Consider the following 24,222-nt stretch of genomic DNA (forward strand, 5'->3'; position numbering starts at 1 on the left):
CAAAAAGGCATTACCATACAATTTTAGCTGTTGGTAACAAATTATCTCTTTTACATTGCTTTCCCAACTAATTCTGCATAGCACTTTCATATTTTACTAGAATAGTATTATGACTAGAAGTGAATGATTAGCATAAAAATTCTCTAAACTATTAATGAATAATTTACATAGCAATTTTTAAAAGGTAATTCATAATTGTCCAAACATCACTCTCAGTTTCCTAAAGGAGATTACTTGTGAAAACACTCATTTGTCAGTTTTAAAGTGGAACTCATCCTATATTTCTCTTTGCAATTTACTCTTCAAATTAAACTAGATTTTAGTGTATATCCATGCTGAGTTCTGAGTGCAGAATTCAGCACTAATGACTTAATAATATTATCATTTTCAAGATACTGGCCTTTCAAGACACAGATCTCAGCAGCCCAGTGCATGCCCTATGCAAACACTGGGCCCTGTAATGACAGGGAAGTGCTGGGAGATTTGATCAGCTCTCCTCAGCAGCACTTAGAAGATTAGTCATGCAATATTAGGCCTTGAGGACACTTTCTTTTCCCCTCTTCTTTCCTTTATCAGTATTATCTTCTCTGGGTAAGATGCATTACCTATGTGATTCAGAATAAGATGAAAAATTGGGCCCTAATATGTTTATATTTTTACTTAAGAAGAAGAAACTCAAAGTCCTTTTTTTGAAGTCATTTTTGGCAAAAGTCAAATGTATCTGTGACCAAGTTATAAACATTGTGTTATGGACAAAGAGAAATGATATTAGAATTATCATGCAGAATGACTGCAGGTGTCAAAAGCATTCCCAATATGTGTACACAGTAACAGAATTATGATTCTGTCTCTCCATCCACAGACACTCATTTCTTTGAGTCACATGATTGAATTTAACAGAAACAATATTATCTGTTTTTAGTATTCTACCCACATAAAGTAAATTAGTGGGGATTTGAGCTTAAATTATCTATGAGATACTTTTCACTAGTAGTACATTTCATAGAATACTGAATCATTTTGATTACTTGCTCATGAGTCAAAAAAGAGGCTAAAACATAATGGAGACAGAAATAATACTTAAAATCTAAAGATACCATAAAACCAATGTTTTATTTCTCTGCTCAAAACCCTGCAGTGGGCCACACATGGTGGCTCCCAGTACCTTGGGAGGCCGAGGTGGGTGGATCACTTGAGGTCAGGAGTTCGAGATCAGCCTGACCAAAATGGTGAAACCCCGCCTCTACTAAAAATACAAAAATTAGCTGGGCGTGGTGGCTCATGCCTGTAATCACAGCTACTTGACACGCTGAGGCAGGAGAATTGCTTGAACCCAGGAGGTGGAGGTTGCAGTGAGTCCAGATCACGCCACTGCATGCCAACTTGGGCAAAAGAGAGAGACACTATCTCAAAAAAACAAACAAAAAACCCCTGCAGTGTCATATTTGAATTGTGTTATGGCCCCCACTCCTTCTCTAACCACAGCTTCCCTCTCTCCTAGTCATTAATTTTGCTTCGGCCACAGTGGTCATGCTCTCCTAAAAATACCAGGCCAATTCTTACCTCACGTCCTTTGCACTTCCTTTACCTACAGAATTATTCCCCTTAAACATGTCCTCTGCTCTCCTCTTTATTTATTGAGTACCCTACTGAAGAGTTATTTCCTCAGAAAGGTCTTCCCTGATCCCCATCTCTTGTATTTCCTACCTGACACTTTCTATCTCTTCTTTAATATTCTTTCACAGCACTTGTTACAACCTCACTTATTTTGTATTCTTTAAATTTACCAGTTTCTTTGTCTCTCCCTACTAGAACACAGCTTCCCAAGAACGGAGACTGTTCACTCCTGCATCCTGACTTATTAATCAGTGACTGCCTCAAAAAGTTTCTTAATTGAGTGAACGAATGAATGTATAGGATGGGTGATACAAAGGCTGAACTTACACTTATAACACAAAGTGGTAAATATAATCTCAGATTCCACTTAGTTGCGGTACAATAAAACTTAACATTAGCATGTCAATGGAGGATGATAGGAAAAGGCACTCCAATCGTCAAGCATTTCACACCATTTAGAGGAGGAAACAAGGTAAAAAAAAAAAAAAAAGAAGAAGTTATTGTGGTCTACCACAAATTATCTGTTTGGATAAAAATAATACATAATACAATTAAAGACACCAACCAAAAATTAGCATGGAAGCAAAGTATACTAGAAACGGTAGACTTTGCCTTCCTGAATAGCATTTTAATTATCTGTACAGAAGTAAGCATTTTATAAATACTAAATTGGACTTCCTGTAAATCTCATCCCCAGGAGCTTGAGGAAATAGGATAACTATTTGTCTATACCTGACTTTGACATACAAGGAAGAGCTGCTTAGTGAATCAGAAAAGATAAGAAAATCGTGATATCGGCAGAGTAGTGGAGACAGTGAGAAAGAGGAAAGCTAAATACAGCCCAAAGCTACATTATAGACTTTCAGAATGAATAGCAACAACAATAATGATAATATCTATCAATCACTGAGTGTCAATTATGGGACCAACACTATACAATGCACCCTACATGCATAACCTCCTTTAACCCTCACAACCTACTCCACCCACCCGCCCCAGCTTTTTTGTAGACACAGGGTTTTACTATGTTGTCCAGGCTGGATTCAAACTTTCAGGCTCAAGCGATCCTCCCACCTCAGCCTCCTGAGTAGCTGGGACCTAGAGGTGTGAGCCACTGAGCCTGGCTTCCCTTCTTTTCTTAAAACAAAGTAAACCTTTAAAAACAACTGTCATAATTAATTCAGGTAAGAAAATAGACACTGGAAACAAACTTGGTAAACATCTTGTAGAATCCATTTTTCCACAGCAAGGCAGCTGGGGATTCCATCATTTTACAGTATTTTTGCTAATATTTAATGATCAGGGAGGCAACAATACTCAAGTGAGGAGTGGCATTTTCTGGAACTGGACTGTGCAAGGCCTCTTTGGCTATATACCTTAATCCCTGTGCTGATCTCACTCTACTTTTTGCCATGTCTCTGGTCAGTTCTCTTTCCCAGCCACCCTTTCAGGAGGTTTCTATACCATCTCCAGGTTTCTCCTTAGCCTTCACTTTCAGCACATAGTTTAATTTCTACCACACAAGTAAGAGAGAAAGTGGGCTGGGATCCACATTCTCTGTTTTCTGGTTCTCTACTTCCTATGTCACGTCACCCTTTCTATCTTCATACTTTTTCTTTCCTTATGGTCTCAGAAGGTCTTTATTCCTACCTAAAGCTAATCAGTCTGCTAGTATTCTCATGACTATTTTCTCAAGGATCACACTCCATCATCAATTATTTACTCCCTTTCTTCTATTTCTAACTTCTTTTCAAATGGTTTCTTTCCCTTTGCCTATAAACACTTGAATGTCTTCCATGGTCATAAAGTTTTCCCTTGTCTCTCTCATTCTCTGTTGCTACTGTCATATAGCTCCTCAGTCAAGCTACCTGAAAGACTAGTCCACCCTGAGTATCTTCCTTTTCCTCACTCTCCCTAATCACTCTTGATTCACTATAATCATAATGGCCTTGTCCCAGGCCATTCTATTCCATTTCTATGGACATATTGCACCAGTTACTTCCTAACTGTCAAACCCAGCAGGTATTCTTGAGTCCACCTCTCCTCAGGTTCCACTAGACTATTGTTCTTTCTCAATCTCTGTGGCCCCACTTCCTTTGATTTTTCATTAATTGCAGGCATTATCCCTGGCTTTGTAATCTCATCCACTTGCATGATTTTACCACTGTCTACACAATGATAGCTCCAGAGTGGTGTCTCTAAACCAGATCTCCCAAATGAACTCCAGAGAAATTACAAACAGCTGTTACAACTGGGTGGTTTCATTTAGGTGTCACATAAAATGCTCATATTCAGCCGATTTAAAATGAATCCATTGCCTTCTTGCCCAAACTTGTGCCTACATACACATCCTGTCTTGGATGATGGCATCACCATCTATCAAGTCACATAAACCAGTCACATAAACCAGGGAACTGAAAATCATTCTAGATTTCTCTTTCCACTCATCACCCTCCTTCTTTAGACCCCAAATCTTAAATATTTATTAAAATCCTATCATCTTTACCACCACTGCTGTTGCCACTATGTCTGTCTTGGTTCAAGCGCTGTCTGGACCATTACATGAAGTTTAGATGGAATTTCTGCCTTCAGCCTTGCTCCCTCCAGCACTAACTTCAGATTCATGTCCAAGTGAATAAAACATAATAGTAACATATACCACATAGGATCAAGTCTTTTCCTTACTAAATACCCTTTGGAATATACGTATATACTAAAAGCTTAAAGTACTTATCCTTAGCATAGGGGACTTTCCTTGACAAACTCTCCAATCTCTCTCCTGGCACATTCCCTCAGCTGGAAAATAGTATTGCAAATATATCAAGCTAAAACATCCCTCTGCTCCTTAGGACACATTTGAATGCCTAGAATGCTCTTTCCCTAGCCCCTTTTGGTCTCGGTAAGCTGCTATTTGTCCTTCAAAATCTTTATCAGAAGTTACTGCCTTTTGATCTGTACCCACAAAGTTATTCACTTTGAAGTCTGTTATTCCCTGCAAATTGTTCTTGCTTTACACATGCATCATAATTTTTATAATAGACTGATTTCAGTCTGTCTCCCCTAGGAGACTATGATACCACTAAGGGCAGATATTACATTTATTAACCCTGTGACTCTAGATCCTATAAATATAAATGATCAACAAACATTTCTGAGCTAAATAGAAGAATGATATTCTATTTAGTCCACTTCAATCTACTGTTAGATATTCCCTGAGGTTCATGGTAAAGAAAACCTATTTCATATTTTATTTCCTATGCCACAATCTCTGAACAATGCAAATTTTATGCAAGGTTTTGTGCTTTAGGCAGTGCTTTTGTAAATTATTTGATCACTAATCAAGCTTAGAAATATATTTTACATCATAAGCCATTATAAACATATATGAATACAAATACAAAAATTAGAAATACTTCCCTTTGATTGGTATAGTAAACTCGTATTTTCTTTCCTAGTCTAGTTCTTGGCATTAAATAAAAAAATACTAGATTGACACAATAACCTGCTTTCATTTCTCATGGACTGTGATGTACACATTTTGGAAAACACTGCTCTATATATAATGTTTTCAGGAAAAAAAATCTTAAAAGGAAACTTTGTCTGCTGTTGGTGAGAATGTAAATTAGTACAACCACTATGGAGAACACTTTGGAAGTTCCCCAAAAAACTAAAAATAGAGTTACCATATGATCTAACAATCCCATTGTTGGGTATATGCCAAAAAGAAAGGAAATCAGTATATACAAGAGATATCTGTACTCTCATGTTTATTGCAGCACTGTTTACAATAGCCAAACCTAAGTGTCCATCAACAGATGAATGGATAAAGAAAACATGGTACATATACATAAGGGAGTGCTATTTAGCCATAAAAAAGAATGAGATCCTGTTATTTGCAACAACATGGATGGAAATGGAGGGCAGGATGTTAAGTGAAATAAGCCAGGCACAGAAAAACAAATATCACATATTCTCACTTATTTGTGGAAGCTAAAAATTAAAACATTTAAACTCATGAAGACAGAGAGTAGAATGATGGTTACCAGAGGCTAAGAAGGGTAGTTGGGGGTAAGGAAAAAGTGGGAATGGCTAATGGTTACAAAAAATAATTAGAAAGAATAATTAATTATTTCTTACCCAACAATAATTACATGTTACTGGAAAGCACTCAGAATTTAACTAAAATGTAAGAAAATCCATGTAAATAGTGGGAAAAATATAGAATATTTAAAAAGAAATAACATCACTGAAGTTGACACATGGCTGTAAACTATTTCTAAAAATTAAAGATTCTGGCTTTAATGAATACAAAAGCATTTTGTTCATAACCTATGAGCTTAAAATCATAAAAATATTATGTTAAAAGCTAATCTTGTCCCTTTGAACTACGTTTCACATTTTATTTAGTTCAAAAAACCATTGATTCACAGATATTTTCAAAGTAAACTTCAGCCTGGTCCAGATCTAAGTATGAGAAATCGAAATTTAGAATAGTTTAAGTTTATGAAGTTTTTCTCTATTCATGCTGCAAGTTGGAATATTCTCACCTATGCTTATGTGTTTTCTGTAATTGAGTCTCTGCTACTCTAAAAAGTCCCTAAAAGCCTGAAATCCATATTCTCTGCTTTATCCAAAAACACCTCAAAGAACAATACAGATTAGGTAGGAGCTTTGCAGTAAAGCCACCATTTACCAAGTATTTCTGTGTGTCAGGCAACAGGGTAATGGATGTGCTAGATAATTCATATGTCATTCATAATTCTTGCAACAATCCTGAAAGTCAGTGTTATCCTATGTTTATAAAGGATGAACTAATTAACTTGACTTAGGACATTTAGGAGTAGTAGAACCAGTACTAGAGAAAGAACCACTTTTTTTTTTTTTTAAATGGAGTCTCGCTCTGTCGCCCAGACTGGAGTGCAGTGGCACAATCTCGGCTCACTGCAACCTCCGCCTCCTGGGTTCAAGCAATTCTTCTGCCTCAGCCTCCCAAGTAGCTTGGACTACAGGTGCGCACCACCACGCCAGGCTAATTTTTGTACTTTTAGTAGAGATGGGGTTTCACCATGTTGGTCAGGCTGGCCTCGAACTCCTGACCTCGTGATCTGCCCACCTCGGCTTTCCAAAGTGCTGGGATTACAGGTGTGAGCCACCACGCCTGGCCAAGAACCACATTTTATTGTATATTTACTATCTACCAGGCACTGTTCTTGACATACAGTACAGATTGAATATCCCTTATCCAAAATGCTTGGGACCAGAAGTTTTTTAGATTTCAGATTTGGAATATCTGCATTATACTTATTGGTTCAGCAGCCCTAAGCATTTCCTTTGAGCATCATGTCAGTGCTCAAAAAGTTTCAAATTCTGTAGCATTTCAAGCTCTGGATTAGGGATGCTTAAACTGTATCTCATTTAATTTGTATAACATTCCTCTGAGATAGGTACTGTTTTTATCCTCATTTTTCAAATTAGAAGAGAAAAGCAGATAAAGGTTAAAATTTGCTACAGATCACATAGCTAATAAGTAGCAGAGCTGGGGCTTGAACCCAGATTTGTCCCGAAGTCTAGGCTATTCCCATTAGACTCTGTTGTTAAAGGCAATACAGTGAATTGTCAAAAATTGATAAAATGATGGATTTAGAGTTCAAAGTTTTTCTTTTATGGCCAATAATTTCCCACTTGTTCTTTAGAGCATGCCATTAAATTCTGGCTTAATTTCCTTTATACTTTTTACTGTAAAAGGTTGCCATGTTGTTCAATTATTTAAAATAAATTAGAAGACTCAGTATTTTTCAAAAATGTCATGAATGAGAGTTTGCTGGCTTGCTGTCATGTATGATCAAAGAATTGAAAAGGATGCCTTTTATCTGAGAATATCAAAGGGTACTAACTAAAAAAAGACACAGAGTTCCTATTACAGTGAAGAGAAAAAGCTGAGCCCATTGAAATATTATACAAGAATGTTGGCATACAGGTAATTCACAGATATTATTACCTTTGCTACTTGAAATTGAACCAATCTGGATTCTCTCCAAGAGCTATTCTTTTAAAACTGTAATGCATTCAATTCATTTGCTACAATTGCTAATTTTTTCCTTGTTCATCCATAGTTCATTCTCACTCTATATAAACACACACACACACACCCATACCCACACACAGATTTGTAGATTCAAACCACATATCCATATACTATATTTTCCTCTGTGGCTAGCAACAGCCTATACTGTAAAATAGCTAATATTTATCAAATTAGAAACTATAAAATTAAAGTTAACTGCATTATTTTTTCTAGCTGTCACAAGTGTCTAGTTATTATGAGGGAAATTGAGTAACTCCAAAATCTGGTCAGTTAGGTAACTGTGGCTAAGATCCACGTCTCTGTCCAAAATAGACACAATCAGGTAATTTCACTGGTCTAGGACATATTGTAGACAATAACAATTCCCTCTCAAAATGTTTATTTCAACTCTTTCAACCAAAATATAAGATAACAGTTTTTCCCTTAGGATACACTGAAATTATCATTATTGCTGAAATACACTAAAAGCTAAGTCTTGTCATGATATTTTGAAAAATCTGGTCTTACTGAATTAAAATGTACTTGGAAAAAAAATGTTTCCTTTGAGCTAGATATAAAGTAAAGCCAAGAAGGGTGAATATGGATTTTAAAGAATTATCTGAATATTAAATTACATATATGATTTAAAATAATTATATCAATTTAAGTATTCCCATTAAAATTTGTGACATTTTCTAGTTTCTCAATATCACTTTTTAACGTAGAATTATTTAAAACACTTAACTCAGTTGCCGTAGTTAGGCTGTTTATTTATTTAATGTCTTGATCATGAAAGCTAATTTATCTTTCTAAACAGGAATTTTAGATGCCATGAAAAGAAACATTACCATAATTTATTTTTTATACTTACAAATAGTGAATTTCTTAGAGATATTAATCTCTTGATATACTTTTCTTAAGGCAGAATAATTAATTTACTTTTGTGAGCTGAATTCCCGATCGAATTAGCATATATATTTTAAAGTAACAAGAAAGAAGCTGGATTGCCACCTCTTTGGATTCCGATAGTGCTTTAAGATCCCAAGAGACCTGGTGCCTGAGCATGTCTTTTATCTCAGATGGTAAATGTACCATCAGACCCAGGAAAGGACAAGGAGTGTAAGGCTTTAGTGAAAGATAAGAGTCAAAGGTTCTCTCAAACATGTTACCATGACACCTTTTGTATGTTTGTTAAAAAGAGTAAAGCTGGCAAATCTCTCAGAATATCCTATTATCAGATTCCAAATGAGGAAAAAAATTGTTAAAGCATAATATATTCTGATTTCTAAAGCAGTCTATCACAGAAATTGTTCTTACATTCTTTACTAGCATGCCATATTAATGAATAAAGATAATTTTTTAAAATTTGTGTCTTGTTGAAGTTTCCTATATTTTAAAAAGTAACAAAAAGTTTATTTTCAGGAATCAGTATTTTTGAAAATGCTATTGAAAATGCTGCAATTATGTATTTGAAGCTATAATCACATGTAACATAAACTGTTAAACTCTAAAGAAGTTGCTTATGATAAAAAATAGATAAAATTGAATTTGGAATGCATAAAGCACCATCTTTCTTCACATGCATTGCAACATTAGTAACTAAAAGAAGCTACAAGTTAAACAAATTGGCTTTGCCTTCACATGCTTTATCACATAATTCTCCTAAGTGTTAGAAAACATCACTTTTAGACAAATTATCCAGGTTAACAAACCAATGTATGTATTAATCAGAAAATAACAAAAGAAATTGGTTTCATTCTCTAGCTTATATAACCAAAAGATTAACATTTCAAATCCTGTATTAGTTCAACCCCAGGAAAAGGTGAAAGTCAAACATTAATCTAAGTTAAAAAATTTTGCTAGAATAAGTTTGATATCAGAACCAAAACAATGGCAATGTTTGTTTTGTCTTTGTGTTGTACACACTGCTGAAGTATTAGGTACTAAAAATCCAACATTAAGTCTCTCAACTTAATGATTTTCTCTAACCAACAGTTGAGAACTGAGCAGTGCAAACTCAAGCCTAATATTTTAATTCCTCAAACATTTATCAAACACTCACAAATTATTAGGTACAGTTGTTAAATTATAATTTAGACCTTAAGTGGCAGACAAAGGTAGTATCAATAGCACTCTCAAGATTTCAGCTATCTCATTAGATCATTATCCTAACAATGGCTAGGTTATTGACAGTCTGCAATGAGCAAAACCACATAGTAAGGTCTTTATGTAGATCACCTTATTTAAAACTTCACAATAATCCTACTGCCCACATACAGCTGTTATTCCATTTTAAAGATGAGTAAACTAAGGCTAGGAGAGAGAGTACAGTGGTCCCAAAGTCACAGGGCTATTCAAAGTGGAGCCAGGATTTGAAATCAAGCCATCTAACTCCATAGTCTGTGTTTTTGACTTCTGGCCTACACTACCCACACTAATATTTTGAGTAGAATGATAATATACATACTTTCACCCACCCCACTATATAAAGACTGAAATAGAAGGAATAAAATAATCAGAACGTTAGAGGAAACTGAAAGATTCAGAATAGGCCCATCATTATTAAAAATCCAAATGTCAAAATACTATACTTAGTAGTTTATTCTTCCTAGGTCTTTAGGTCTGATTGTCTGATGATTCTTCCAAATTCTGTTCTTGTACCGCTAACAGTTCTTAAGCTTTCTTTGTGCTTTGAAATTTTGAGAATTCTAGGCAGTATTGTGCAGTGTGAAGAGAGCTCTGTGTGGCAATAGAAGACATAGGTAAAACAGATCTTGCTCTTTACTAACAACACTTCTAAGTTTCACGTTTCTCATTCATTAAATGAAGCTAACATCCTATTTGCCTCACTTTGCTAGTGAGAGAACATGTATTAAACTGCTTTGAGAATAAGCCACTTTATGTAATGATTGGTATCACTATTAGAATATAATGATATAGACTGGTATGACAGTTGTAATCTTTTTTTATTTTCATTAACCTACTGGGACCAAAGTATTTTTTAACTGAAATGAAAACATTGCTAAATAAAGCATTATGTATGATACACAGTATAGAATAGTTAATAAAGCTGTATAGAAGCAAAATAAAGTCTAAATGCTCTACAGAGCATCCTCTGATTCTACAAATTAATATTAATCGCTTCCTCCTTGGCACTCACATAATACTTTATTTTCATCTAATTTTTGGACTCTATCACAGCATACGACATATTATTTGGGGAAACATTAGTTCAGTCTCCTAAAGTCCCAGTCCTTAGGGGACATAACCATACTTTTTCATGTGTGTCTCTTCTAGGCCCACTCTACCATGCTATAAATTACATGTAATCCACAAAGGTCTATTGAAAAGAAAAAGGTATAATCAAAATTTAAAATTAATTATAATATCTCAAAATTAAGTTCATAAGAAGACTTTAGAATCATATAACTTCATTTTTAACATTAGCCATTAAACATTACTTTTAACATTGACAGCTTTTTATAAAGTGCTACTTCATCAATGGCACACAGACCGTGACCATGGACCTTCAGTCAAGATTTGAATATAATGGTTGAATAATCAATGTTCTGGCCAAATATTCATTTGTTTATCTGAATGAGGTTCAACAGATTCATTTCCATATAGAAATGTTTACTCTCAGGCCGGGCACGGTGGCTCATGCCTGTAATCCCAGCACTTTGGGAGGCCGTGGGTGGATCACGAGGTCAGGAGTTCAAAACCAGCCTGGCCAAGATGGTGAAACACCGTCTCTACTAAAAATACAAAAATTAGCTGAGCGTGGTGGCGGACTCCTGTAGTCCCAGCTACTCTGAAGGTTGAGGCAGAGAATCGCTTGAACCCGGGAGGTGGAGGTTGCAGTGAGCTGAGATTGCACCACTGCACTCCAACATGGGTCACAAAGCAAGACTCTGTATCAAAAAAAAAAAAAAGAAATGTTTACTCTCATTTCATTTTTCAACAAAGGAAAAGATAAAGAATATTCCCAAAATTTAGCTAAGCCAAGGTTTCCTTTTTTTTTTTTTTTTTTTTTTGAGATAGAGTGTTGCTCTGTTGCCCAGGCTGGAGTGCAGTGGCGCAATCTCAGCTCACTGCAACCTCCGCCTTCCGGGTTCAAGCAATTCTACTGCCTCAGCCTCCCGAGTAGCTGGGACTACAGGAGCATGCCACCACACCCTGCTAATTTTTTGTATTTTTAGTAGAGACGGGGTTTCACCATGTTAGCCAGGATGATCTTGATCTCCTGACCTCATGATTTGCCTGCCTTGGCCTCCCAAAGTGCTGGGATTACAGGCGTGAGCCACTGCACCCAGCCAAGTTTCCTATTTTTCTATACATATGCAAATATTTTATTATTCTGGAAATACAAAATAGAAAAACCTCATTATTTCAACATAACTAGAAGTATGGTGCAGATTTGAGTTGCTACAAATTTGAAACTTAAGAATTTTTTCCGAATATTTGAAGAAAGCAGAGGTAGTATTCTAAATTTCTTTCTAAATATCCACAATTTAGTATTAAAGATGTTTTTAATTTATTCTTCCAGTTAAAAAGCACTGACTGGATAGATTAATGATTAGATAGACATAAAAATGCACTTTTAATATTTGGAAAATCATATAGTACTTTGATCTAGGTTGAGATGTATTAACATAAATCCTTATGAAACTTGATAAGAAATAGGTAAGAGTAATTGAGAATAACTAGCAGAAGTGTTTGTAAGTAAAATAATACATCTATAATGCTTTTGGATATTTGAAAAAGATTTTTCTTTTTATGAGTTACCTCTAAAAGCTGTCAGTACACCCTGTCCAAATGATCACATTCTAATGTAGTAGGTGCTGAATAAAGACATTTTACTTTGTAAGATCATGTAATGTCATAGGCTACTAACAAAGTAAGAAAATTGGCAGTTGTAAGACCAGATTTTGGACAGAAAATAATATAAAATGCAATAACATAACTTGAGTAAATTTTACTAGAAACAGATTTCTCTATCATGCCATTAAGTCCTTGTACAACTCTTTCTCCTTATCAACCAATCAACCAGTCAATCTGCAAATATTTAAGATAACCTACCATGGGGCAAGCACAGTATGACACAATGAAGAAAGAGGCAGAGAAACAGTCCTTGCAAGAAATAAACATATATTCTAGAAAGATCACAGATAACATAGGCCACTGAATGTGTGATTAAAAGTAAATCTAAGTGTACTAGTCTCACTAAAAAAAAGAAAAGGAAAAAAAACGCGAAAGCATTAGATGGTATACTTCTGTCGATAAAGATTTCCCATAGGAGTGACATTTAATTTGAGACCCAAAGGGTGAGTAAGGTTTATCTGGGTCAAAGGGGAGCTTAACAAATTCCATTAAATGTTAGGTATCTAGTAAATCTAGAGTCTGGAGATTAAGGGGAAAGGACCAAGAGAAGGCTGGAGAAGAAAGCAGAAAGCAGAAAGCAGTCCTCTGAGCATTCGGGGTGAAGTGGTAGGACGGTAAAGTGTTTGGATTCTATCCAAAGGGCAAAGAGATGCTATTAAAGGGTTTTGTGTAGGGACAGTGGACTGACTTGTATGTGCAGAAACTCTGTGTGTGGGTCTGAATGAGGCAGGCATTATTTTAAAGAAAAGAATTCAGGCTTTTCTCAACATGGAACCTAAAGAAAGCATGACATTATACCAAATAAACATCCCTTAACAATAGAACTTGCTAAGTTCAACTATCAGCAAAAAATAAATTACTATGTTTATTTCATCTTTCTTAATAACATTCATTTCAACAGTACACATATAGTTCAAGATTTCTGAAGATACTATATACTACTGGCAAAGTAGAATTGTATAAACACTTGGTACATGGAATATAAAATTATTGTCATCACCTCACATTTGTTTGTTTAGCTGCTAAAAGATCTTTGAACAAAGAATCACGTCAACAAAGAGGGTGTCAAAATATCAACAAAAAGAGATCTTGTCAGAGCTTAATTAGGGCTTCCAATTAGAAAACCAAACTAAGAATCCTATTAGCACTCAAGTAGGTATTCTCCTTGCTTAGGAAAAAACAAACAGCTCCCACAGGTTATCTACCTAGCAAAAAGGAATTTTATGAAGACCTCTTCCTAGTGGGATTAAGTCAACAAAGACAAGCAGCATGAAAATCTCAGAACCACATTAAGAGAACCACTGTGTGCTCAGGCATACTTCCTGCAATGTTACCAAGTTACTATCACAGTTCATTTTTAATACAATACATTTGGTTGTACAGGATGTGGATTCTACAGAAAAAAAAAAGCACAATACATTTGGACATATGCATGGCCTTCTCTGCTGCTCTCTGGTAAAAGTTATTAAATAAAGCCCATGGCCACTTTTAAAAGAAAAAAATTTCCAAGTCAAAAGGAGTAAATATGCTACTTAACAATAGAACCAACTCAGTTTTTTATGAAGTACCACATTTGCTTGTATATGTCATCCTTATGAACACTGCTTGCCTGCCTTCTTGTTTTCAAGAAGAAAATAGTTCTATCCTCCACTCTAAATTACTTCTTGGCCAGAATGCTTCAAAAACTGTGAATGGTCCTGTTAGCTAATTAAAACAAGTTTACCACCATGAAATATTTGCTGTTCTCCCAAAAGTCAGGTATTCTACCAGTGAATAAAAAAGAGAAACATTTTCAAACCCAAAGTAACATATCAAGTAACAGAATTCTGACTAGTAAATTTATAAACAGTATCAAAATTTAAAATTAGTTCCAACAATTAAAGAGCACGTGATTTACTCTGTACAAGAATTTGGAAATGGTTCTTTTCCCAGATTGGTGGAAAGGGTGGGATAAAGAAAAAAATCTAAAGCTATGCTATGGGGCAATAAAAGTGTTCCAACACATCTAAAAATTACCTGGCCTTCCAGAAGTAATATTTAAATTCCAACATTTTGTCACAGAGATAATAGAGAGTCACTGGATTTTAGAAATTGCTGCTTAGACTCTACCCAGTGTAATCATTATGACTCTAATTATGATTGAGTTTCTTCACCTCAATAACAGGTTCTCCAACTACTCAAGTACTTCCATTTTATGAATTTCAAATATGCACTGAATTACATTTGTTCTGCCTGGCATGGAATTTAGCAAATGTAAATCTGCTTCAGAACACATTCACTCCCAGAATTTTTTTTTTTTTTTTTTTTTTTTTTGTGATGGAGTCTCACTCTGTCACCCAAGCTGGAGTGCAGTGGTGCAATCTCGGCTCACTGCAACCTCCACCTCCTGGGTTCAAGCGATTCTCCTACCTCAGCCTTCAGAGTAGCTGGGACTACAGGTGCCTGCCACCACACCCAGCTAATTTTTGTATTTTTAGTAGAGACGGGGTTTCACCATGTTGGCCAGGATGTTCTCAATTTCTTGACCTCATGATCTGCCCGCCTCGGCCTCCCAAAGTGCTGGGATTACGGGCGTGAGCCAACGCGCCCAGCCATATAAAAAATATTTTAAGATTTCACTGGACTTGGTATGTTAAAACATACAAACAAACAAAAAAACTACCTTAATCTCAAGGCAGAGGACAAAATCTCATTCTTTCCTTTTGACGTGTCCAGTAGCTAGCACAGTGCTTGACACCAGGTATATACTCAATAAATGGTTGAGGAATTGAATGCATAATAAAAGAGTAGATGAATGCATGAATTAATGAAAACAGATTCGCATTATGTAGAGCACCTTTATCAAACCCCTTTTCCCCTGAAGAGGTAAGGTAGGCATTCTTTCTGCATCTGAGGCCTTGGATTGGCTTCAAGAAAGATGAAAGTTCCTTCCTGCAAGTGCTGTTCATCCACCTTTCTTTCTCATGGGACAGAGGCAAGCACTCCAAGATCAGAAAGCAGTATGACTCAGAGGGTAGCTAGCCTTTAAACTGAATCTTTGTTAAGCCAGGAGAGACAGTTCCTTTCTCCTAGGAACAGATCCATTTGGCCCCAGGCTTCTGAGAAAAGGGATAATTATATGACTAACATAAGGAATTGTTAAGCTTAAAAGATTCCTTTTTGTTTTAAGTTCCCACTTTGGGAAGCACATAACTACTTCAGTGCACTAACTACATGCCTCATTACTACTTAAGGGTATATTAGATTAATTTTTATTTTAACTTGAAATAATTTTATTCTCAAAGCAGGAAATATCTTTTAACTCGAAATGTGTTGAAGTAAATGGTGAACGAGTATCAAATTCATCAGAAAATATCTACAATAATATGAATACGAATAACAAAGGCAGCAGCTAATATTCATTGAGCTCTTATCATGTGCTGTGTATTGTTTTTATCCTCACAACCACCCTACAAGGTAGACAGGGACCCTTACATGCATTTAGAGATACGGAAACTATGCCTATGGTCAAGAGCTAGTAAAAGTCAGAGTGGGGTTTCACACCCAGACAGTCTGATTCCTAGTACCTGCTCTATGATTCAATTATGCTTTTCATATGAAAACAGGAAATCTACTTTACTAAATCAAGAAGTACCAAAGGTAAGCAATTCAGGAATGACTTGAATAGTTCTTTTCAGTGAGTCAATCCCTCACTCTGTAACAGAGGGTGCTTCCACATCTCAACTCAGGGGGCCTTTACAACCACACCAGTCCCCATGTGAAGCCCAGAAGGCATAAAGAGAGACACAAGAGAGATTAAAGAAACAGAATAAGATTTGAAAGCTATTCTAAAACAAAAATCAGAATAAAGCACAGCAATAGAAAAAGGCATATTCCAGGCCAGGCAAAGTGGCTCCCGCCTGTAATCCCAGCACTTTGGGAGGCTGAGGCCGGCAGATCACCTGAAGTCGGGAGTTCGAGACCAGCCTGACCAACATGGAGAAACCCCGTCTCTACTAAAAATACAAAATTAGCTGGGTGTGGTGACACATGCTTGTAATCCCAGCTACTCGGGAGACTGAGGCAGGAGAATCGCTTGAACCCAGGAGGTGGAGGTTGTGATCGTGCCATTGCACTCCAGCCTGGGCAACAAGAGCGAAACTGTGTCTCAAAAAAAAAAGAAAGAAAGAAAGAAAGAGAAAGCCATACTCCAGGGACAAAGAACAAAGCAATTTGGCTAGATTTGAAAGGTTTATGAAGGAGAACAGGAGATAGGTATGGGCCAAACTGTGGGTGGCCTGAAACCAGTTTCATGAAGTCCTTTAAATCGATTTCTAAAACTGATGGTGAGTCACTACATGTTTTTAAACAGGAAATGAGGAGTGCAAAACGTTATTTTAGCAAAATTAATCTAGCAGAGTTTTAAAAATGAATTAGAAGAGAAAGAGACAAACTACAGACAAAATAGGCAGGAAATACCACGTTCCCTTAGCAATCACAGATTAACATTCATAATTTCAAGTTTTCCCAAGTGATCTCCAAATGTTCCCATTTCTAATTTTTCTAAGGCACAGAGTTATGAGGTCGGTTTGTGAAAGCAATTCACTAGCCAGCACTATGCTCCTGCTTCTCAGGGAAGTATGGTTTGTCTGTGGTTGTTTTTCCCCCTAGGCCAGGGTCCTATTCTCACTTAGTAAGTGATGAAAAATGTTTCTGTATGCAAAGTACCTCCAGGTAAACTGCAACTGCAGGTGTAGAAATAAACAATGAATTATTGGATAGTAATGACAGTAGTGATTTAATTGTGAAAGTTCCACACATTAATTCCTTGGTAATATCAAGATATTTTATACTTTCACCTTCCAGGCATTTGTGTCAAGAAGAAGACAATAGAAATAGGAAAAAGAGAAAGCTGACACAAAAGACATTGAAATGAAAAGTAGGACTTAGTGGCTGACTAGAGAAAGGGGACGAGGAAAAGAAGAAATGAAGACAGTCTCTAAAGTTTCAAGCCTGGGAGACAGGGAGGATGGCAGTGCCTTGAGTAGGCTAAAGAAATCCTAGAGGTAACCTAGTACAAGGAAAATGAGACTGGTGTCTGTGTGCGCTGAATCAAAGTTCTTAAAGGCTGATGATGCAAGTGAACTCCTGTCTGGCAGAAGAGAATTGACTTAGATAATTTTGATGTTCTTTGAAACCCATCAAGAGAATGTAAAGTTTGTTCAATGCTTTTTTTCTTCTGCTCTTTTAAAGCTGCAAGACTGAGGTACTCTAATTCCCTGATTTTTTAAAATCAGAATTGTACGGTTCTGCCTTTTATTTCAGAAAATGCTTTATGAATCATCCTAAACGGTTCCTTAGGAGGCAAAAAAAAAAAAAAAAAAAAAAACCTCTCAGTCTTCATGACCAGTTTCAAAATAGTTCTATTTTTAATTCATGTCTAAAAGCTACAAGTATTTAAACTTTAGTACATTTAAATAATGAAAATAATGATGTCATATTGATATACATCCTAATTAACACAGAGAAAGGCTACTGATAAAATAACTTTACTATGTTAATGTTTTGTCTTTGTTTTGCACGAGAAGCTTTCAGAAAGACAAATATTCTGTGAAATAATTAAAACTAGATTTATACCAAGAAGATGAAAAGAAAGAAGAAAAACCCACCAGAAACCCGAGAATTCAGAGAGAATTATTCACAATGACAAAGAGTCATCATCTCAGAGTCCCCTGGCCTGCTCCTGGTGCATCACCAGCCTCATCTGTATTCCCCACGGGAAGCAGCAGCAGCTCCAGGGAAGATCAGCAGCGAAGAAAGAATGTGTTATGCAAAAATAGTTATTTCAGACAGATCACAAATGGAAGCCTGGTGGGCAGAGAAAAGTTGAAGCAGTGTGCAACAAGAACATTTTAAAAGGCAGTACTTAAGAAGGGAGCAACTGTTTTTCCTTTTTAATTTTTTGTTGTTGAGGTTCAAATGAAGATGAGTTAAGGGGGCTCTCCTTTCAGTTTCCACGTTTAGGACTTTGGGCCTCGGTATCATATTATAATTAAATGTCAGATGAGAAATCATGAGAGTAGTTAAAACTAGGTGCCACACGGCAGGTCTAGGTTTTTGGGGCCTCAGTGACCTCAACTGTGGCCTCTACTGTGATTGCCTATCACTGGTGCCCATAAATAATATCTGAATGAGTCAGTCAATTGTTGTTTGGTATCTGGTTATTCAATACCCAAATTAGTGAATCCTATGAATAAGTTGCAGTTTACCAAACATAGTAAAAGCTTTGTTATTCAAATATTTGATGCAATGGCAAATAATAGTTAAAGCATTTTAATCAGCTAAAAGTTAATTCATATCTCAGTAACATTTATTAAGTACTTTTAACCAATATCATCCATTTTATTTAATCTTCACAGTAGTGACGATACTCCATTTTATGAATGAAGATAACTAAGGCTCAAAAATTATTAAGAAACTTAAACCAAGATAATAGTAGTTGACTTAGCTTCCTCTGGGGGTTTGGCTAATTTAATCCTCACAGTTCCCTAAGAAAGGTACTATTATTACCTCCATTATGCAGACGAGGAAACTGAGGCTCAGCGAGTTTTAGGTAAGTGGCCAAAATTCTTAAGGTAGCAAGTTATACAGTCAGCCAAGATGTGAACCAATCCTGGCAGTCTGGCCGCAGGGCCCAAGAAGAGCTCGTTAGGTGGTAGAAAGTTGGAACTGGAAAAGAAGTAGATTCTAAAAAAACAGTGATTCAGAGGCCAGTGCTATTCCTGCAGGCCACGCTGCTCTAACTAGGTACTCACCAGTTTTTTCCCTCTATCTCTTATCTCCTTACCCCATACCTGCCCACTGACCCACCTCCCCAGCCCCTCATTCCCTACCCCAGGATAAGAACAGTGCCAGCCTCTGATTTAATCTGGGTTTACATTATCTAAGGGGAAGAGACCAGGGATTTTACAGTAACCCAACACTTCCACCCAAAAGAAACAGGTTTAGACTGTGACAGATTTTTTACCAGAAGTTTTGTCACTTGAGTGAACTAGACTGGCCTTCTTTCTGGTGTCAAAAGAAAGACAGCTTTATTAATGGTTAATAATGATCTAAATGAACAGCTGTATTTTTATTAAGTAAAACTGATTCAGAAATCCTCATAATGCCCCTAGTCTTAAAATTATTCCCATCCTATGTGCTATATTGTCACTACTTTAAAAATTCACAGAATATAGTCTTATAACAGGATTGCAAAATACCAGAAATAAATCTTTCAAAAATATACATTTATGGATGTAGGGCTGATTCTAAAATAGGTATCAACCAGCGCTGCCTTTTTCTGCTTGCTTCAGATACCTGAAATACATACATCAAAACCATCTGTACACAGAAATGGGGCCATTGCTGGAAGCAGTATTCAGTATTATTCTTAAAGTTACAAAAACGTGAACTATCTATAAAATATTCTGTCTGATTCTTACTGAAAATAGCCCAATAGAAAAAATATTCATGTATGCATCATTATAATAATCAAGCTAGGATAAGGTGACAACTACCTTGGGAAAGTAGAGAAGAAAAATGTGAAATAGAAAGTAAAATATAAAAGTATGGTTGGTGCACGCCTGCTACATTCCACACTTCTATCTTGAACTGCATGTGCCATACAATTTAGAAGTGTGCTAAGTACAAACCTTTACAGTGACTGCAATGATGAAGTCGCTAACAAAATTCTCAAGTACGTACATTTACTTCCCCATGGAAAATCCATTGACAACGACCACTGATATAAGTCATTCTAGTCCTTACCAACACAGTTTGGCTCACTTTAGGGAAATAACTTATCCTTTTTGCCCCCATTTTTTCATCTGAAGAAGCAGGAAAATGACCAACGTGATTTCTTTAGTTTCCTCAAACTTTAATATTCATCAACTTGGTCAAAAACAATAATTTCAAATTTATGCATTAATAAAATGTGTGGGAGTCCGATCATGGTAAATGCACAGAGTGTGCTCTATGGGATAGCTATGTGAATACTCGAGAAGCAAAACAAGTCTTGCAAAATTATTAATAATCCTTTCTTTCATTTCTATGAAGTCAAGGTGTTACTGGAGTTGCTTAGAATAAGCATATCCACCCTCTCAAGTAGCAAACACCCTTACACTACTCTAAAAGATAGTGATTTTCATGAATCAATAGCTATTTCTTCTTTTTATATATCAAGAGTATAACTATTCTTTAAAAATATTTTTTTAATCAGACAAATGAAGATGTTCTTTAGAATATGTATGTGAGTGAAGGTATCCAAATTGGTAATAAGGGGCTAGGTTTTAGGAATGTAGAGAAAATGGACTTGGGATATTAGATCTGCTAATATCAAGACAAAATCTGAATCCTTGTTGAAGTTCAAAATAATGACTCAGATTTCAAGGGTTTCTTTTTCTTCCTTCTACAAAGAAATACAGTCACGTACTGCATAACAAGGTTTTGGCCAAGGACATGCTGCCTACATGATGGTAGGCCCATAAGATTATAACATCATATTTTTACTGTGTCTTTTCTATGTTTAGATATGTTATATACACAAATACTTACCTTTGTGTTACAATTACCTACAATATTCAGTACAGTAACGTGGTACAGGTTTGTAGCCGAGAAGCAATAGGCTACATCACATTCTCTAGGTTTATATAAATAGACCCTGTATCAGCTATATCATCTAGGTTTGTGTAAATACACCCTATGATGTTCCCACAACAAAATCGGCAAATGACGCATTTCTCAGGATGTTTCCCTGTTGTTAAGCAAAGTGTGACTATAACATTTTTATTGAGTATTTGAACAAGCCTCTCCCTATCACAATGAATTCAATCACTCATGAATTATTTCATAAGGTGCTGTAATATGGTATAATACATTATACATTTTTCTCAGGCTATAATTTTGGTATTTAATGAAACTAAGCAGACTGCCTTAGTGTTGTTATGGGAACATTTATCAGATGGGAGGAAGTTGGCAGTAAGCTGTCTGCTGCCAAATGGGAAAGGATTCATTAGCTCTAGAAGACTGGCAGTCCTAAGAATCATTTAAATACAGACATAAAAAAATGCTCGGTTGGCAATTAGGATTTTACACAATTCTAAAATCTCTTTTTAACACATACAGGTGAGAGCTTTACAATACTTGGTAAACAATTCTGAACAAATTCAAGTAAAGTTGCAAATTTCAGAAGAATACAGGAAAAAGAACAGATGGAGTTGATGTGTAAGAGAAAAGTCATTTGTTTCCAAAAGAACAGGGAAGGCCAGTGTCTACACTAGCATACCATAATAGGAGTTGCCTAAAAGCAGGCAAAGTGATCATTTTGTCACAGGCAGACATTTGACTTGGCTATATATACATTCTATAGAAAAATTTTACCTTGATAGTCCACATCGAGGTTAAAAAAAGTGAAATAGGCCGGGCGCGGTGACTCACACCTGTAATCCCAGAACTCTGTGAGGCCGAGGCTGGCGGATCACCTGAGGTCAGGAGTTCGAAACCGGCCTGGCCAACATGGCGAAATCCCATCTCTACTAAAAATACAAAAATTAGCCGGGCATGGTGGCATGTGCCTGTAATCCCAGATACTGGGGAGGCTGAGGGAGGAGAACCACTTGAACCTAGGAGGGGGAGGTTGTGGTGAGCCAAGATGGCGCCACTGCACTCCAGCCTGGGAGACAGAGCAAGACTCTGGCCAAAACAAAAAAAGGCCAGGAATGGTGGCTCACACCTGTAATCCCAGCACTTTGGGAGGCTGAGGCGGGTGGATCACGAGGTCAGGAGCTCAAGACCAGCCTGGCCAAGATGGTGAAACCCCATCTCTACTAAAAATACAAAAATTAGCTGGGTGTGGTGGCGGGTGCTGGTAATCCCAGCTATTCAGGAGGCTGAGGCAGAGAATTGCTTGAACCTGGGAAGCAGATGTTGCAGTGAGCCGTGATCACGCCACTGCACTTCAGCCTGGGCGACAGAGCAAGACTCCATCAAAATAAATAAATAAATAAATAAATAAATAAATAAATAAATAAAGGGAAATGTATCAGGTATAGAACTGATTTCTGCATCTTTGACACTTTGTGGAATATAAACGTGACCCCCTGTGCAACATTTGACAATGAATTTCTTAGTTGATCCACTCAAAGAAATGGAGTCCCCAAACACATATGCATGCACGCTAATTACATACAGTTTAAAGTATCTTGCCCTGGGTTTAAAAGTTTTCACCAGCAAATTTGACTCATCCTTTCCCTATGAGAATTTTGATTTAATTTCACTTCTTCATTTAGAAAATGGCCATGCCTTTGAGAAACCTTAATTGTCAGTCAGCATTTATTACCACACTCTTCTATACTCTCTCTGAGCTATAGGAGCTGGAAGCTGAAGCACTATGTTTCCCAGACTCCCTTGCCATTAGGGTTCTGGATAAGGCTTAGGTTCAGCCAAGGAGATGTACTCACATCATGTGATTAGCTGAAAGCAAAGGAAGGTAAAAGTCATCCATCCCCAGCACTTGACATGGCTACTGACTACAGGTTTTGGTAAAAACTTTTTAATAACTGGCAATTCCATATTCCAATTCTAGTCACCAGTTTAGGGGCTATGGAGTAGTTACAGCTTTGGCAGGCATTTCCTGCATTTGTGCATGGCAGTTTCCTGGACTCCAGTTCACAGTTTGCAGTAGAGGGAACAACAGCAACAAGAAACCTGAACTGATATATTCCTCTGCTTTTTCTAAAAATTTTGAAGATACTTAATTCATTGTTTTAAAACTCTTTTCAGTGTGAAATATCTGGGGCTTTTGTTGTTGTTCGCCCTGAGGTCCCTTCTCTCAAGAAAAACTAATGATCTGAATCTATCAATTCAGGATATGCATTGGCCCACAAGTCAAAGTTGTGGTATTTTTAAAGAGATCACAAAAGCATGTAGCATAGACAGTGTGGTCTCTGTAATTGCTTGATGTAGGCTTTAATGAGGACAAGAGAATATTCTCTCATCCTTTCTTATTCCCACCCTTTCTTCCAGGCTTAAATAACCATCTGGACAAGGTGTGTTCATCCTTATTTTTATTCTGCTTCCCTCTCTTCTCTTTCTACTCTTCACACTTGCGTAAGCCCTGGGCTGGGTTATGGAAGCACAGCAGTAGGTGTTAGGATACATATTTTGCTCTGGCATATATGATAGGTACACCATGGTTTAAAGTTTCTGGTTGATTTAGGGGTAGAAATAAGTAAAGCCAATTTTACATTATTTTTAAGTCACTTAAGGGAATCAGAACAGAGTCCTACATTTGGTTTGGTCTAGCTCCTCAGGCACTATACTGAGGTTTAGGGCCAAAGGCTTAGCCAGTAGCTATTTATCATGAATAAATAGATTTCTATCATGATCTCAGGTGGAAGTTGGTATAAGACACAGTTTTATTTTTATTTTATTTTTTATTTACTTATTATTTGTTTTTAGAGACGAGGTCTTGCTCTGTCACCCAGGCTGGAGTGCAGTGGTGTAATCATAACTTACTGCATCTTTGAATTCCTGTGCCATCAACTGATCCTCTGTGAAGAGCCCTTCCTCTGGGTGTCTCCTTAGCTACCTCTTCACCTATTTCAAGTCTGCTCAAATCTCCTCTCCTTCTCAATGAGGCC

The 24,222-nt window shown here is 36.6% G+C and overlaps 1 protein-coding gene across 3 annotated transcripts in view, besides 2 other annotated features; it reads right to left on the reverse strand.

Annotated features, from left to right (window-relative positions):
• The window catches only part of PPP3CA (protein phosphatase 3 catalytic subunit alpha), a 324,109-nt gene that overhangs the window by 116,542 nt on the left and 183,345 nt on the right, over window positions 1–24,222 (reverse strand). The gene's annotated exons all lie outside the window — the stretch shown is intronic.
• Window positions 1,315–1,464: an enhancer, noted in NCBI's record as "active region_21748". NCBI's record gives its function as "activates an Ori minimal core promoter by ATAC-STARR-seq in GM12878 lymphoblastoid cells {active_cell/tissue: GM12878}" and the evidence as "EXISTENCE:reporter gene assay evidence [ECO:0000049][PMID:35858748]".
• Window positions 15,294–15,795: an enhancer, noted in NCBI's record as "NANOG hESC enhancer chr4:102076410-102076911 (GRCh37/hg19 assembly coordinates)". NCBI's record gives its function as "activates a minimal SCP1, AML or CMV promoter by ChIP-STARR-seq in naive H9 embryonic stem cells {active_cell/tissue: H9 hESC(naive)}" and the evidence as "EXISTENCE:reporter gene assay evidence [ECO:0000049][PMID:30033119]".

The sequence above is a fragment of the Homo sapiens genome, chromosome 4, assembly GCF_000001405.40.
Source record: "Homo sapiens chromosome 4, GRCh38.p14 Primary Assembly".
Classification (NCBI taxonomy): domain Eukaryota; kingdom Metazoa; phylum Chordata; class Mammalia; order Primates; family Hominidae; genus Homo; species Homo sapiens.